The sequence below is a fragment of the Homo sapiens genome, chromosome 6 (genome assembly GCF_000001405.40).
Source record: "Homo sapiens chromosome 6, GRCh38.p14 Primary Assembly".
Taxonomy (NCBI): Eukaryota; Metazoa; Chordata; class Mammalia; order Primates; family Hominidae; genus Homo; species Homo sapiens.
This window is the reverse complement of record NC_000006.12, coordinates 7,103,429-7,120,048: the sequence shown is the minus strand read 5'-3', so window position 1 is coordinate 7,120,048 and position 16,620 is coordinate 7,103,429. Positions and strand designations below refer to the sequence as shown.

At 47.0% G+C, this 16,620-nt stretch overlaps 1 protein-coding gene across 4 annotated transcripts in view, besides 7 other annotated features; it reads right to left on the bottom strand.

The window, feature by feature from the left end:
• The window catches only part of RREB1 (ras responsive element binding protein 1), a 144,238-nt gene extending 131,932 nt beyond the window's left edge, over positions 1–12,306 (bottom strand). For 3 of the 4 annotated variants that reach the window (NM_001003699.4, NM_001003700.2, NM_001003698.4), the window contains exon 1: positions 11,989–12,088. The gene's annotated coding sequence lies outside the window, so the exon portion shown is untranslated. Of the gene's footprint in view, positions 1–11,988; positions 12,089–12,280 lie in introns of those variants that run through there. The other variant, NM_001168344.2, reaches the window with a different exon arrangement.
• Positions 486–1,061: an enhancer, noted in NCBI's record as "H3K27ac hESC enhancer chr6:7119221-7119796 (GRCh37/hg19 assembly coordinates)". NCBI's record gives its function as "activates a minimal SCP1, AML or CMV promoter by ChIP-STARR-seq in naive H9 embryonic stem cells {active_cell/tissue: H9 hESC(naive)}" and the evidence as "EXISTENCE:reporter gene assay evidence [ECO:0000049][PMID:30033119]".
• Positions 4,299–4,593: a silencer, noted in NCBI's record as "tiled region #12169; K562 Repressive DNase matched - State 5:Enh". NCBI's record gives its function as "represses a minimal TATA promoter and a strong SV40 promoter by Sharpr-MPRA in K562 cells {active_cell/tissue: K562}" and the evidence as "EXISTENCE:reporter gene assay evidence [ECO:0000049][PMID:27701403]".
• Positions 10,720–10,809: a silencer, noted in NCBI's record as "silent region_16885". NCBI's record gives its function as "represses an Ori minimal core promoter by ATAC-STARR-seq in GM12878 lymphoblastoid cells {active_cell/tissue: GM12878}" and the evidence as "EXISTENCE:reporter gene assay evidence [ECO:0000049][PMID:35858748]".
• Positions 10,830–11,319: a silencer, noted in NCBI's record as "silent region_16884". NCBI's record gives its function as "represses an Ori minimal core promoter by ATAC-STARR-seq in GM12878 lymphoblastoid cells {active_cell/tissue: GM12878}" and the evidence as "EXISTENCE:reporter gene assay evidence [ECO:0000049][PMID:35858748]".
• Positions 12,110–12,329: a silencer, noted in NCBI's record as "silent region_16883". NCBI's record gives its function as "represses an Ori minimal core promoter by ATAC-STARR-seq in GM12878 lymphoblastoid cells {active_cell/tissue: GM12878}" and the evidence as "EXISTENCE:reporter gene assay evidence [ECO:0000049][PMID:35858748]".
• Positions 12,390–12,869: a silencer, noted in NCBI's record as "silent region_16882". NCBI's record gives its function as "represses an Ori minimal core promoter by ATAC-STARR-seq in GM12878 lymphoblastoid cells {active_cell/tissue: GM12878}" and the evidence as "EXISTENCE:reporter gene assay evidence [ECO:0000049][PMID:35858748]".
• Positions 13,220–13,279: an enhancer, noted in NCBI's record as "active region_23935". NCBI's record gives its function as "activates an Ori minimal core promoter by ATAC-STARR-seq in GM12878 lymphoblastoid cells {active_cell/tissue: GM12878}" and the evidence as "EXISTENCE:reporter gene assay evidence [ECO:0000049][PMID:35858748]".

Here is a 16,620-nt window from a genome sequence, read left to right as displayed (position 1 = left end):
TGTTCGTAAACCCTGACTAATCCAGCGTTTCACTGTCAGAGGCATCATCATCCACTCAGCTGCAAAAGCCAGAGACCAGGAAGTCATGTCTCCCTTCCACGACCCTTCCTCATCGCCAAGCCCCTCCCACCTCTTAAACCTTTATCAAATCCTTCTAAGCTCCCTTTTTCTACTGCCACCACCGGTTTTCAAAGTTTCAAAAACTAGCGTTCTAACTGACATTCTTCCAAACAGAAGGCAAACAGTTGCTTCCTTCTAGCCAGGTCTATTCTCAACTCTGGGTAGGAATAATCTTTAAAAATGCAAATCTCATCATGCTAATCTGGCCTAACACTTTTCGTAGCTTCCCAGAGTTCCTAGCAGCCTGCTCTAGCCCTTATCTACCGCACCATCCCTGTAATTCACTGGTTCTGTGTCTTGTCTTCCTCCAAACACTGTGCTTTTCTCATTTTCCTGGACGCACACCTCTCTCCAACCTCAGGGTCTTTGTACAAGCCGTTTTCTGACGCTTTTTCTTTCCTCTCACCCATCCTTCAGCTATTAGCTCAAATGTCACTTCCACAAGGTGCCTTCCTTGACCGGCCTCCCAGCATCTTTCACTCCTCCCCCACACACAAAGGCCACACACTGGTGGCACTTAGCACGTGTATATAAAAATGACTTCTTAGTTGCTGAACACGTGTCCTTTTCTTTTTTTTTGAGATGGAGTCTCGCTCTGTCACCCGAGCTGGAACGCAGTAGCACGATCTCAGCTCATTCAACCTCTGCCTCCAGGGTTCAAGCGATTCTCCTGCCTCAGCCTCCTGAGTAGTTGGGATTACAGACGCCCGCCACTACGCCCAGCTAATTTTTGTGTTTTTAGTAAAGATGGGGTTTCACCATACTAGCCAGGCTGGTCTCCCAAAGTGCTGGGATTACAGGCGTGAACCACCACGCCTGCCATTTCTTTTGATGCAATATATCCTCTACGAGGCTTTCAACTATCTTTCCCATACCAGTAAACTTGGTGCTTAACACAGTAGCCTTGCATAGTGGATATTCAAATATGTATTGAATCAATAAAAATCTGTAAATGTTAAAAAAATAATAACACCATGGGAGGCCAGGTGCAGTGGCTCACGCTTGTAATCCCATCACTTTGGGAGGCCGAGGTGAGTGCACCACCTGAGGTCAGCAGTTTGAGACCAGCCTGGCTAACATGGTGAAACCCTGTCTCTAAAAAAAAAAAAAAAAAAAAAAAAAAAAAATTAAAAAAAACACCATGGGATTGGCAAATTTGGTGGTGAAAAACTGACTATTTTCAAAAGGACGCTAAATCTCATACTGAATCACACTCCAGGACAGGAGGTTGTGAAGCCTTATTAAGCTTTTGAACAAATGGTTCTCAGAAACCTTCTTTTCATGATTTAAATACAAATCAAATTCAGAGACACGCAAGTTAAGCCTCCTTTAAACTATACTTGGTTTTAAACTTTTAATAGAACACTTTAGCCAAATACATACAGATTTAACTAACCAAGCCATAGAAAACCTGTTTGAGATGTTCACTAGTTTTATAAAATTATCCTCCAAAACATTTAAAATTCCTAAAGCAAAGGAAAAACTGACTTTAAAATAACCTATTTTCTGGGCGGGAGCGGTGGCTCACACCTGTAATCCCAGCACTTTGGGAGGCCAAGGCGGGCAGATCACATGAGGTTGGGAGTTTGAGACCAGCCTGGCCAACATAGTGAAACTCTGTTTCTACTAAAAATACAAAAATTAGCCAGGTGTGGTGGCATGCGCCTGTAATCCCAGCTACTCAGGAGGCTGAGGTGGGAGAATCGCTTGAATCCAAGATGTGGAGGTTGCAGTGAGCTGAGATTCCACCCCTGCACTCCAGCCTGGGAGATAGTGCAAGACTCTGTCTCAAAAAGAAAACAAAAAACTATTTTCTGTATTGAAGAGGAAAATATATGAGCCTCCTGATAAATAAAACTACGTTAGAATATTATATCTGAATGTATCTGCCAAATCTGAGCCTAAACTCTAGTTAGCAGATAAGCACTTGTTAAAAAATATTTATAGTAATATATTTTTAATCAACCAGGATTTCATCTTGTATAAAAAATACCAAGAACTTCCACACACTATGTCATTTTCTTCTTTTTGCTTTTTTAAATTCATGTCAGGCTCAGTGGCTCATACCTCATACCTGTAATCTCAACACTTTGGGAGGCTGAGGTAGGAGGACTGCTCCATCCCAGGAGTTTAGGAATTTGAGACCAGCATGAGCAACATAGAGAGACCCTGTCTCCAAAAAAATAAAAAATAAAAATTCATTGTTTAAAAAGGAAATCTGGTGGGGCGCGGTGGCTCATGCCTGTAATCCCAGCACTCTGGGAGTCCAAGGTGGGCAGATCACCTGAGGTCAGGAGTTCAAGACCAGCCTGGCCAACATGGTGAAACCCCATCTCTACTAAAAAAAATACAAAAATTAGCTGGGTGTGGTGGTAGGCGCCTGTAATCCCAGCTACTCGGGAGGCTAAGAGAATCGCTTGAACCTGGGAGGCGGAGGTTGCAGTGAGCCAAGACTGCGCCATTGCACTCCAGCCTCGGTGACAAGAGTAAAACACTTCGTCTCAAAAAAAAAAAAAAAAAAAAAAAAAAAAAAAAAAAAACAGGAAACCTATTCACATGGTTCACCTTTGTGTTTCAGAACACCCACCCCATCTTCCTGGTTATCTCCCCTATTTCTGAAGACATATCTACCTCTTTTATGAGAAAATTAAGATTTTGATTTTGTATATTCAGAGAAATGTTTTGTTTTTTACACTGAAGTGTCAGAATAAAGGGAGCTCCCTTAAAACAGTGAAAATGATTATTTTTATAAATATGATCTAAAATCAACTATTACCACGTGTATACTGCACATACACAGACACATACAAACACATAAAGCAAGATTTATACCCTGTAGATTTCTGGCTTGGTATTCTGTTTTGAATCCTACGAGTAATGGAAAAAAGAGAAGCTAAATTATACACAGACCAACACTCCTATTAACTCATACCACTAATGAAACAAAACTCTAACTAAGCAGAGAAAATGGGCCCACACATTGGAGCTCTGAAATGATTTTGGTCTTTGATCTGTGTGCCCATCTCTCCTATTTAATGTAAACTTCAAATCAAGAGCCATGAAAAATGGTTATAATTAGTAAAGGCCCCAGTGTGACAGCTTTTAGTGCAACCAGGCATTAACAAGGAGTTTTTTTCACTTTTACATTAAGCTGAGCCAACTTTTATTTTAGAATTTCTGTAATTCAAAATTCTTTCCCACCAAAGAACTTAATTCTTTCCCACCTAGCACCACCTTCTGCATGATGGGTATGCTGAAATCGTTAGTTCATGTCTATTTCCTTCATTGAATTTGTAGCACTATTTAGGCCTTAGCTTCCAAATTACATGTGGCTATTCTCCAAAATCTTCAGAAACTCTCATTTTTGTATCAGAAATCAACACACAGTGGTGAGTGAGCACCAACTATGCAATCGTTCTAGGTGCAGGAGATGGGAAAATATTCTTGAAGTGAGAGAAACATGTTAAGAGATAAATTACAACAGACAAGACTTGACAGATGGGGGTAAAAGTTACTCACAACAGAAGAGCTAATTCTCCATAGAAGAGGTAGTATTTAAGCTGGGTCTTGAAAAAAAGAGTACAAAATTTTTATTGCTGAAGGAAGGGGATGGGGATGCAACAGAATGAACAATCCAGGCAACAGGAGGCAGTAAGAATCAATTCAGTGTGGCAGTGGGGTAGAAGAGAGTGACAAGAGCTGAGACTAGAAATTCAGCTTGGAAGCAGACGAAGTTCCTTGTATGCCAAGTTAAGGAGTTTGGATTTCTTCCTGTAGACAACAGAGAGCCAAGAGATGTTTTTAAGCAGGCAAACACCACGCACGGCTTTAGTTCTGATGATTCTGGCAGCAGAGTGGAGGATGAACTGCAGTAAGGAGAAACTGGTGGCAGGAAATTAACTTGGGAGGCGTTTGTGACTTGATGAGGGCCTTAGGTCAGAAACGATAGAACAGCCAATGCCAGGGCCAGACTGGAGTGTGGTTTTGCAGAGGGCCTGGTGACTGATCGAACATTGGGGCAGGACAGACATACGTCAGGACGGCAGTAAGACTCCTGGCCTAGAAGGCTGGGTGGATGGTGATCACCTTCCAGAAGGAAGGGAGAGGACTTTCATTTTTACAAGTACCTGCAGGGTAAGGTACTTGCAGGGTGATCAGGGTGACAAAAGGTTCAAGCTTGGGAGAAGTTGTAAATGGAGATATAGAGTTGGGAGTTGGCAGTTTATAGGTTAGACGAGAAGACAGAAAAGCACCAGAACGCAGAGTGCGTTCTGCAGGAACAGGACTCGTTACCACGTATGGGACTGCAAAGGTGGCTGCAGAGCAATGGCCCTGAGCACCATCAGTGCGACTGACACCAATGGGACACTGACTAACCGCTGGTTTAGATGTAAAAAGAGCTATCTTCAAGTATTGCACATGTCTATAAAGTGGGAGCCCAGGCCACTCTAGGGGTGACTCTGCCTACCACTGGCAGCCCTTCCTTTTCTGGAATTCGATCTCTGTCTCCCTGTTTTCTTCTCCCCTCTATGGTTTCCTTACCTCCTGTCTGTGTGATAGGCTGGGGGGTGGGGGGGAAGGCCAAGGGTCAGATCAGTTAACACTTGCTGGCTAAAAGATCACTCCTGACACTATATTAGACATTTCTGGTCTGAGGCCTGGGGTCCCTTAACATAAAAATAATCACCGCCTCCTACCCTGCATCCCCTTACTCCCTCCCTATCCCTCCCAACCACAGCAGCTGGCAGCCATCCACCCTCTCAAGAGGAGATGTATGGACAGAGCACCCGGCTCAGAAACACTGCCCTATAAAAACGGCAGACGGTTATGTAAGAATTTTGCAAAAACTTGAGAAAATAAAACAAGGGAGACTACGAATGCAAAAACATTAACTGTTAAGCAAGTAAGGGCTAGTTCAAACACTTAAAAAAAAAAAAAGGTATACTCCACATAACTTAGAACATGAAGGAGGCTGCAGATGACAGCACCAGAGCAAGTTTCCCAAATAACTGAAGAGGTGACTGGGAAAGCTGAGCCATCGACCACAACAGCTTCACAAAGCCAATGAATCTAGTTTGTTTTAGAAGTAGATGACTTCTAGAATTTTCATTTACTACGGGGTTTTCAAATATATTTAATGCCACTTAACATTTTCCTCAACCCCAAATTTTCTGTGAAACTTCGAACTTGCCAACCATGGTACCTCAGAGGCAAATAAGAGCTTACTTGCTTTATGGAATTTCAGATTTCTAAATATATCGCATGCAATACAGGCAGCGCACCCAGTGGACTTGTAGATGAGACCCAGGCCACGACTACTGTACCTTTCAAGCAGGCTTTCTCAACCTCAGCTCTGCTGACGTATGGGGGTCGTTCTGTGCACTCCAAGATGTGGAACAGCATCTTTGGGGTCTATGCACTAAAGGCCAGTAGCAGCTCCCCGCTGCCGCCCCCCCCCCCACCAGAAACACTTAAAAATGTCTCCAGACAGTGCCAAAAGTCCCCTGGGGGCAAACCCACCAGGTTGAGAACCACTTCTTCAAAGAGTAAGCCCCAAGCTTGTCATCAGCTTTTTCCTTAAAACTCATCCCTCACCCTGATCAACATGGTGAAACCCTGTTACTACTAAAAATACAAAAATTAGCTGGGCGTGGTGGTGTGTGCCTGTAGTCCCACCTGCTCAGGAGACTGAGGCAGGAGAATCGCTTGAACCCTGGAGGTGGAGGTTGCAGACAGGCAAGATTGTGCCACTGCACTCCATCCTGGGCGACAGCAAGACTCTGCCTCACCTAAGTGAACCACATTAAGAAGAATTTGCTAGTCCTGTTAGTCTCCCAGCACTAAAAACAAAAACAAAGTGCTGCATTTCCCCAATCTGAACATAAACTCCTAGGCAAAATTTGACTAAGGTAATGGAGGTGTGCAAAATTCTGGAAAGGAAATCCAGAATGGATACCCACAAAGCTTCCTGAGCTCAAAATATACCACTTTCTTCCGTTTATAGATTTTGACTTTCTGGAACATCTACTTTATCCTTACAACAATCTCATGAGGTAGAAAGGCTACTAAAAAGATACATGTCATCACAGTTCATCAACAGAAATGCTACCAAGAGCAGAAGTGCTTTTTAAAATTTCCTTATACCTTCAAACTCAATTAGGTTTATTTTGAAAAGGATCTGGTCTTATTTAAAAACCACACACCATACACATGGAGATAAATAGGCAGTATATATTTAATGCTGCTAAGTCCTCCTGAGGTCAAACTGACTCTAAAAAGCAGCTGTTCTACAGGGCTAGGCTGGAGTTAGGAGTTCTGGGTTCCAAGTTTGATTCATTAACAGCCCCCGGGTGGACCACCGCGCAGCTGTAAAATGGGTCAACATACCCACCCAACTCCCACAGTGTTCCTCTCAGCATGAACGTGGAATCTTTGCTAAAGGCCTCCACAAAAGCAGGGTGAAATTAACTAAGTCCTAGAAGGTATATCTGAATGAAAAAGAAAAATTTTAAAGTGATTAAACCACCAGAAGTATCAGACACTTTCATAACAATTCTATCCCATAGTCTCTGAAAAGGGGGAAAGAGATGAAATACCAAGCAAACTAGAGAAAAACAAATAGAGCATTTAAAAGCTTTATCTAATTACCCCCACTGAGACGTTTTCTCTTCACTCTGGCTGTCTGACAATGCCTGTGGGGGTTTTCATTCTCTTTCTCCACCCACCCTCATGATGTCTGCAAGCCCTCAGGTGAATCCCTGCAGGAGCAGTCAGGACCCAGTCCCCAGTCCCCGGACTTCACAGAGGTTTTCGAATTCTCTTAGCTTTACTGGCTTGAATCACACTGAACAAACAATCTCCACCCTCTCCCATGCTTTCGTCTGAAGCACCTACTCACAGTCAGCCACCTCTACTGATGGGCAGACTGGCTAACTTCAGTACCCTTGAAGTCCCACCAGAAATAAGATGCACCGATCGCTCCCAGTCTCCTCCTCCCCATCCGCTTCACCCCAACCCGCCACTGCCAACGGCAGAGTGCAATCCCCAGCTACACTCGGCTGCAGTTCAGACCACGCTGAACACCAGAGAACGTGACAAGAGAAATTGGGCGGAGCACAGTCGATGACATTGCCGACAGGACTGCTAACAAAAAAGGAAAAACCCCTCTCCACCTTCCTCATTCTTTTACCTCCGTAGTAATGAAAACAACAGTAGTTTTCTTTTCTGTATTCTGCCTTCTATGGGAGTGGGGGAAATGAAAAATAAGTGATGCATTTCAGAGAGCACACCGTATGCCTCCCTCTGGGTTTCATACGGTGTACCTTTTACCTTTGATATAAGGTACCTGCAACCCTGCAACCCTCACCCCCCTGTGGAAATCACTGTCTGACCCTTGCTCTTTGAAAACTGCCATGGCTACTTCTACTCAAAAATCACTGTCTAAATCAGGAAAGAAAGAGAGAAAAGAAACAGAAAGAAAATACATTTATCAATTTCTTAATTATATTTGGACATAAAAAATATGACTCAACACTGCCTGTTCAATAGGTCAGATGTACAGAAATTAACCTTGAAGCAGGGAAACTTTTGGCTTACAACAGGCTTACCATTCAACCAAGAGATGATAGTTACTCATCATGGCTTCAATTAGATTTCAACCATTTTATCTCAATGAAAAACTTCAAGATACTTGAACATACTTTTGGCAGAAATGTAATGTACATCACACCTATTTTTGTTTTCTGACATTTGGCCAGTCCTTCCAAAGATACTCTGAACCTAATATAATTATTTTTAAAAAGATAGCTATGAACTGGGCGGAATAAACTGCACTAGGGAGGTGGAATGAAATGGAGGAGAAGCCCTATCAAAACCTAATCTAAGGGAATGGTAATCTCAGTAAAGGGGGAAAGAAAGCTATTGTCCCCTTATCAGGACAGACTACATTGCATACTTTCTACTGATACTAAATTGCATTTCTATCTTTGAATACAAATCTGTTTCATGCGGAATAAAAGACATAACTTTATGGATTATGCAGAATTTCCAAAACAAACCATGGAATCAGTTATTAATACTAGAAATAAGAGGGTACTATACACACAAATCCTCAGGAAGGTTCAACCTGAACACACTGGTAATAGTCAAGAAGTCCACCAGACAAGCTGCCATCTGACACCACAAGGCTGGTCATAGAGTACTGAACTTCAATTAAAGACACTTACAAAAGAAAGAGATTATTTAAATATAATAACAAAACCAAAACAAACTTTAACATCCTACCTTCCCAGGTCAAAGGACATAGAAGATTCAGAAATTAACTAAACCTAGTAAATAATGTAAAACAGGGAATGACTCCCTTTCAAAAATGCTTTGGTTAATTTTAGCATCCTTCTGTTTAGCTGCTTAGCAACCCTTATCCTATGACCTTCTAAGCACCACCTACTTTTCAGAAGGATAATGAACAGAAACATCAAAAGAATTCACTTCTGTTTCCAAAGAATATATTTAACCAATTCTTATAGGAGTTAAATTTATATTAATTATGCTGAGCAAAATCCTAAAAGGGTAGCATTTTAAAACTTCATTAACTAGGACATTTCCTTAGCTGAAGGTGATAAATGATGTTAGCAAGCAAGCATAAGATAGCAAGCAAAGACTTCCTAACTGACCTCAGAAGTGGAATAACGCAACAGTTCAAAATTGAAGAGCAAAAACGACCTAAGGCAGCTACACTGTACAGTGCCTGGCACACAGCAGGTAACCAATAAACTGCTGTTGATCAGATGCTGGACTAATACGTGTAGGTTTATTTTCTTCCTTCAACACGCTGTACCTGTGTTGGATACAAATAAGGCCTTGGGAGTCTGCCCGAAGAAATTTAAAAGACCCTTCAATCAAAAGGTCGCTTGTTGGATGATGTAACTAGTTAGGAATGGATGCACTACCTGTACCAGCTCAATAAGACGCATGTTCCCCATCACATAACAAATACTTGTCTGCCATAAGGGCTTAGAGTCTGATTTTCTGATGAGAAATAAAGCAGTATCTAGAAAAACCCAGAGAATGATATTCCACAAAACGGTAAGCATCGGCAGCATTTCTTAAGAGTATTACACATCCAGCAAATCCTCTTTAAAAACAAGACATTCTAAAATGCAACCAGTTTAGCAGTATTTTTAAGACAAAGACAATGCAAGTTCATTAACCTAAAATGGAGCACAAGCTAAGCAAATAACTAAATCAAAGAGTTCTTCTCTCCTTTTCTTTTGTAAAAATGGGGGAAAGGTATTTTTTTAACACATTTAAAACTTGATTAAAGCCATTCAAATGTTTAATTCATCAGTGTAACCAAAGCTCAAAGCACATCAAAGCAGGACCCATCAGCGGGTACCCAGAAGGCTCCCTCCAAAGGGCGGAGGTAAACACATACACACACACACACACACCACCCCTAAAATTAGTGATTCTGTCTTTGTATAAATTACTTGTAGAGTAGCTCGAACCCATTCCTTCAGAAGTTCTGTGGACTCTTGAAGATAGCACAAAACTCAACGTTTGTTTTTCAAAGAGGTTTTAGCCAACACTTTGGCCTCTATCTAACTCAGACTTCCGGGTTGAAATATGTCTTAGAAACTATACCTGCCTACTTGAAAAAGCACCAAATCTAGAGGATGATTTTCATGGGTGTGAAAAAACAAAACTAAACCACATTCTTTTCTTGGCAGTTCTCTTTTCCCCACCTTCCACTTCAATTAAACTTATTTCAGAATCAACTCGCACACATGCAGGGTCCACTACATATATAAAGGGGAAAAAAAATATCAAAAATAATGGAGATGCACTAGCAACTCTGCCTTTGCAGAAATCATTTCTTCTTAAGACAGAAATTCCTCGCTATTTCCAGCAACACCATTCAACAGGCAAACTTTATTTCCACTGGCTTTTAAAGAGCTAAGCTTAAATCTAAACTCTAAGAGGGTTCAATTTTCTACTAATGAAAACCCCCGGACAGGTTTTTCAACATACCAAAACGTTATATTTTTTTATTCACCCTTTTGTCTCTCTCCACATCCACCACCATCACAAGCAGCAGCAGCAGGAGCATCCTCAAACGAAGAAAACCCCTCCAAAGTGCCCCGAATGTGTGCTGCTGCTGGCTCTGAAGCCGTGTAGAATTTCGTAATGGAATGTGAACTGCTCGTCCGGATCTGGGCTCACGTTCTATCTCCTAACCAGTAAGGAGCGAGGGAGGGCAAATCTGCTGAGCAAGGAGAAATACTTTCCTCCTCTTTTATAACCCATCACGGATGCACGGCGGCCGAGGGGCGCGAGCTGCACGCGGCGCCTGTCAAGCGGCCCGGGCCCGCACCCCGTGGGGTCCCCGCGTCCCCCAGCTCCCCGCCCCGCCCGGAGAGAAAGGTGGCCTCGCCCATCGGTGGGCTCGGCCGACGCGCCCCGCACTCACGCGCGGCCGCGGAGCAGGTCACATCCTCGACGCGCCCTTGGCCCGGTCCAGAAAACACGCCGCTTCCCAGGGAGGGGGTCGGCGACGGGAAGGACCTCCCCTGCTCCTTAGCAACCATTAAGGTCGCAGTTTCCTAAGAGACCGCGAGCGGGGAGGGGGCGCGGGGGGCCCGGCCCAAGGCTTGTGCGGGAAGTTGGGGGCGGGGGGGGCAGCAACAGGCCCCCTCCCCCCACCCAGCTAGACGCCGGGGGCCGGGATGGGAGGAGGAAGGGAAGCCCCAGAACTCGTGAAAAACTGGTCCAGCGGGCGGCGGACAAAAGTTTCCGAGCGCGCTCCACAGCTGGGCGGCGGAGCGGGCCCCGGCGGCCGGCCCCGCCTCGGATGCTCCCGGCCTCCTTCCTGTGCTCGTGACGGCGCCGAGCCCCCCACCCCCCCCGCCCGCGAGGCAGGCTAGCTCCACACCGAGGGCTCCCACGAAAACACTCACCCCGCCAACGGAAGGGCGAGGGAACAATACGTGCCCGCACGGCTAGGGCCCGGTCCCCTCCTCCCCAGGCCCCCCGGGGCGGTGGTCGGCGTGACCACGACCGCCAGCCGGGAACCCGCGAGGGCGCGGGGCTGCCCGCGGCCCCCTCCCGGCCGGCGCCGTCCGCCCGGGAGGTTCAAAGTCCGCAGAGCAGGGCGCGGCGGATGCTCCCACCGAGCAGCCCCGAGCAGGCACCCCCGCGCGAGCACCCCGGGCAGGCACCCCCGGATACCTTAGGGCGGCGGCGGGAGGGCGGGCGCCGTCATCTCCGCGCTTCCCGGCCCGAGAAGGACTCGAAAGTATGTAGGAGAAAAGTTTCCCCTCCCACATGGGGGGGAGGATGTCGAGGGAGAGAGGGCGGAAGATGGAGAGCAGCGCTGGGAAGATGTTTCTGGCCGGCGGTGCGCGCACCATCCGAGTCCCGGCGGTGCTGGTTAAAAATAAACTCGGCGGCGCGGGTCGGGCCGGATTCCTGCGCTCGGACGGCTAATATGGATGCGCATCAGGTCCTGCTGGCGGGGCGCTGCGGCGGCTCGCGCTGGGAGCTGGTTGGCAGAGCCGGCGGCTCGGGAAAGGGAAAAGAGCGGAGGAAGGGGAGGAGGAGGAGGAGGAGGAGGAATGGCCCGGCGCGCAGCCCGAGGGGAGAGGGCTGCCCCGCTCATCCCTGGCCGCCCCGCCGGCCCGAGCGCACGCTGCGCGGAGTGGGGCGTGCGGGTCCCCGGCTCCGGGACACACCGAGTTTCAAAAGTACAACGCGCTCTGCAGACTTCACCCTCCCCATCCCCAAAGTTCTTTAAAAGGTCGCTCCGGCTGTGCCCCAGACTTCTCGCTGCCGCCGGCGTACCGCGAGTCGGAATCCGGGGCACGTACTTACGGCCGGGCAGGACGCTTGGCTCCCTGGCATGATGCGTTGGGGACCGGTGGGCTTCAGGGAGAGACCGAGGAGAGATGCAAACTTGTTCCGGAAAAGGAATCAAAATGGCGTTTCTGGATGTGCAAAGTTCATCAACTCCGCAGTCACTTCCCCTCCTCCTCTTCTCCCACAGGGAGGGAGGTGGGCGAGGAGCTGGCGACCCCGGCGCCCCAGCCGTCGTCCCGGCCCCCGTCTCGGCCCCCCGCCCAGCTTCCTCGCCCGCACGCTCGGAGTCTCGCTCTCCCCCTCTCACCCTGATAAGTAGACACATCACGTGTTGCTCCTGCGAGTCTCCTGGGGACGTGTTACTGAGCGGCCGCGGCGGCGGCGGCGGCGGCGGCGGCGGCGCTCGGACTGGGGGGGGTGAGGGGGAGGACCGCCGCCCCCGCCCCGACTTTAGCAGGGTGACCGCAGTTGCCATCCCGGGATGGATGGAGGTGGAGTCCCCTCCCCACCCCCCACCGCAGCCCCAGGTTTGCCCTACGCCCTCCCAAGGCGCCCCGGGCCATGGGAGGGCCGGGCTGCCCGAGGGGAAGGGTCCGGGAGGCCGCGACTGGCTGCGATCCCAATCGTCCCGTTGCTCGCGGGCCACCTTATTCGGCCACCGCGCCCCCTCCCCTGCAGCCCCTCGCCGCGGGCGACTCCCCGCCCCCGGCTTTCCATCACTTCACTCCGCAGTTTCACTATTTTAACGGAGGCGGGGGAGACACGGTGATGCCTCGGAATTGCGAGAGGGGCACCTCAGAGGCGCTGGAGTTGGGGGGATGGGGGGCGTAGGGCTCGGGGCCCTGGCCTGACGCCGCCCCTCTGGGTCTCCGAGGCATCTGCGAGGGGGAGCCCCGCCCGCGCCGTTTCCTTTCCACGCGGTCCTCGCTCTGCATCCAGGTGGGGCGAGTGGATGATGGGGCAGGAGATTAAGGAGCAGGCGCTTCACCCCGCCCCTAGCTTCGAGCCGTTTCTCTCCCGGGGCCATCCTTCTTACTCGGGCTGCCGCCCTGAGTGTGCTCGCCGTCTAACAAACTCAACTCCGACCCGACTTTGGTCCCCCTCCCTTACCCACACCCCACAAAGGATGCTTCAGCGGGGAACTGCCGTGGCCGCCAGGGGCTGAGGACGGTTCCTGCCGCCACTGTGTCCCCACCCCGCGATGGAATGGCTGATGCTGTGTCATCCACGTCGCCCTCCAAGGCTTCAGAGAAGCCACACGCAGTATCTCTTTCTCTCAGAGGGCTCCTGTTTCAACTCTGAAAAGCAGGGGCCCTTCTCCGAGCCGCTCTCCATCTCTCCAGCTCCTGCCACCACGCTTCGCACTGGCTGCCTTGCCCCAAGTTATCACGGAGCCCAGAGAAACCAGGCCTGGGCTGTGCTTCCTCCATAAAGCAGCTGACATGTTTCCAACTGTTAATACTTCTCCTACCGAGGTTCTGAAAGGGGTCTGTTCTCAGCCTTTGGAAACATCTTCAGAAAGATAAGGATGATTGTGGTTGTTGAAAATAAACACGCCCCCCCCCCCCCGCCCCCGTAGTTCTAAAGAAGAATGTCCAAAGAATACTACAGTAGAATTAAGCGTTTGAGTCTGGTTAGGCAAGATGATGTTATGCAGGCAGAAAGCTGGCTACTTTCTATTTACTATGACCTTTGACCCTGGCTCCACCACACCAGCTCCTCTGAGAAGGCTTGAACACCATGGAGAGTTGTAAGCCCAACTGTGGGCCTTTAATTTGAGCCCTTCCATTGACCTCTAGTTTTCAGGGCTGCAGACAGAAGTGTCTGTCTCGGGATGGGTCCTGGCCAGAATAGAACTCTTTAGAACCAAGGAAAAGCAGCTGGACCCTTAGGTCTGATATGAGATAAGTAGGCTAAACCACTGCCCAAGAAGGAGCTGATTCAGCTGGCTGTTTCTCTGACTTTCAGTCATCAAAATTAAGTTTTCGGAACCTGTTATGTTTCCCAGGGTCTACTGTTTACTGAAGAAAACTCCATCCAGAGAAATTTTAGCGGTTGCATTTTTCTGAGCCTCCCCCAACCCCGCCGCCCCCAAATGTATTATCAAATGCTTTTTTGAAGACAGGCCAGTCGTGGAGGAGATGGGCAGGTCTCTAGACAGGAATAATAGTTCACATTGCCATCATAGAATAGGTGTCTTGTGTTTCTAAGTTGTAATGTGTTCCAATGAGGGCAGAGGAAGGGCCCTGTGGGGAATGCTACTTTATTTACTCACTTTGTCTCTGATTCAGGAGCTAGCCTTTCCTGGTCTCCCCATTCAGGGATAAGTTTTGAATAGGAAAAATATCAAAATTGGAATTTTATGCATAATTTAGCAAATCTCCAATGCTATATGAATTTTCATGACAAATTGCCACCTGTATAATGCCATCTAGAAAATACTGGCAACAAAAAAGATTGAAAACAGTTTTACTACAACTTTTTTTAATTTTTTTTTTTTTTTGGAGACAGAGCATCACTCTGTTGCCCGGGCTGGAGTTCAGTGGTGGGATCACAACTCACTGCAGCTTTGAATTCCTGGTCTCAAGTGATCCTCCACCTTTAGCCTCCCAAGTAGGTGGGACTACAGTGCATGTCACCACATCTAGTTAATTTTAAAAGTTTTAGTAGAGAGGAGGTCTTGCTATGTTGCCCAGGCTGGTCTCAGGCTCTAGGGCTCAAGTGATTCTCCCACCTTGGCCTCCCAAATTGCTGGGATTACAGGTGTAAGCCATTGTGCCCAGCCTATTACATGTTATATTTTCAAAATTGGAGTATCATGATGCTGGGCCCTGTGTTTCTCATTTCTAGCTAATTAATAAACTTGGCAGTCAAACCAGCTGTTCAGGAGTCATGCTATCTAAACCATGATGAGATGCCACTTCACACCCACTAGGATGTTTATAATAAAAAAACAGACAATAAGTGTTGAAGAGAGTATGGAGAAATTGAAACCTTCATACATTGCTGGTGAGAATGTACAATGATGCAGCCACTTTGAAAAATAGCTTGGCAGTTCCTCGAAATGTTAAACACAGAGTTGCCATATGACCCAGCAATTCCGCTCTTAGGTACATAAACAAGAAATGAAAACATATGTCCACATAAAAACTTGTACTCAAATATTCATAGCAGCACTATTCACAATAGCCAAAAAGTGGAAACAACTCAAATATTCATCAGTTGGTGGATGGATAAACAAAATGTGATACAGCCATACATAGACTGTTATTCAGCCATCAAAAGGAATGAAGTACTGATGCACGATACAACATGGATGAATCTTGAAAACATTATGCTAAATGAAAGAAGTCAGACCCAACAGGACAAATAATGGATGATTCCGTTTATATGAAATGTCCAGAATAGGCAAATTGATAGAGATGGAAAGTAGATTAATGGTTGCCTAGAACTGAGGACTAGGGAGAAGTAGGGATTGACTGCTAATGTGTGGGGTTTCTTTTTGGGATGCTAAAAATGTAGTAGGCCAGACTACCCCTCTCCCCACCTCCTCCCTCCTCCCTCCTCTTTCCACCTCTCCCCTTCCCCCTCCCTGTCTCCCACTCTCTCACTCCCTCTCACTCTGCCATATAAGAAGTATCTTGCTTCCCATTCACAAAACAACAGCAACAACAGTGTAGACCAGGCAAGGTGGCTCCTGCCTGTAATCCCAGCACTTTGGGAAGTCAAGGCAGAGGATCGCTTGAGGCCAGGGATTTGAGACCAGCCTGGCCAACGTGGTGAAACCCTGTCTCTACTAAAAATACAAAAAATTAGCCGGGCATGGTGGCGGGTGCCTGTAATCCCAGCTACTTGGGAGCCTGAGGCAGAAGAATCGCTTGAACCCAGGAGGTGGAGGTTGCAGTGAGCTGAGATCGCGCCATTGCACTCCCGCGAGACTCTGTCTAAAAAAGAAAAAAAAAAACATCCTGGCCAACATGGTGAAACCTCGTCTCTACTAAAATACAAAAAAAAATTAGTTGGGCATAGTGGTGTGTGCCTGTAGTCCCAGCTACTGGGGAAGATGAGGCAGGGGAATCCCTTGAACCCAAGAGGCAGAGGTGGAGATAGCAGTGAGCCAGGATCGCACCACTGCACTCCAGCCTGGCGACAGAACACAACACCATCTCAAGGAAAAATTAAAAAAAATTAAAAACTTAGCCAGACATGGTGGCATATGCTTATAGTCCCAGCTACTTGGGAGTCTGAGGCTGGAAAATCACTTGAGCTTGGTAGATCAAGGGTGCAGTGAGCTATGCTTGTGCCACTGCATTCCAGACTCAGCGACAGAGTGAGACCCTGTCTCAAAAAAATTAAAATTAATTAAAATTAAAGTGTTTTAAAATTGATTGTGGTTAGGGTACACAACTCTAAATATACTAAAAATCCATTGAATTGTACATTTTAAATGGGTGAATTGTATGGTATGTGAGTTATATCCCAATAAAGCTGAGCTGTATAGACATATATGGAATTGTGCTGGGTTCTGTAGTGGAGAACTGATACAAAAATGGGTAATTTATAATCTGTGCCTTAAAAGAGCTTGCAATCTGATCTCTGCATCCTCATGATGTAATCATGAAATAAAATAATATATTATATATTATA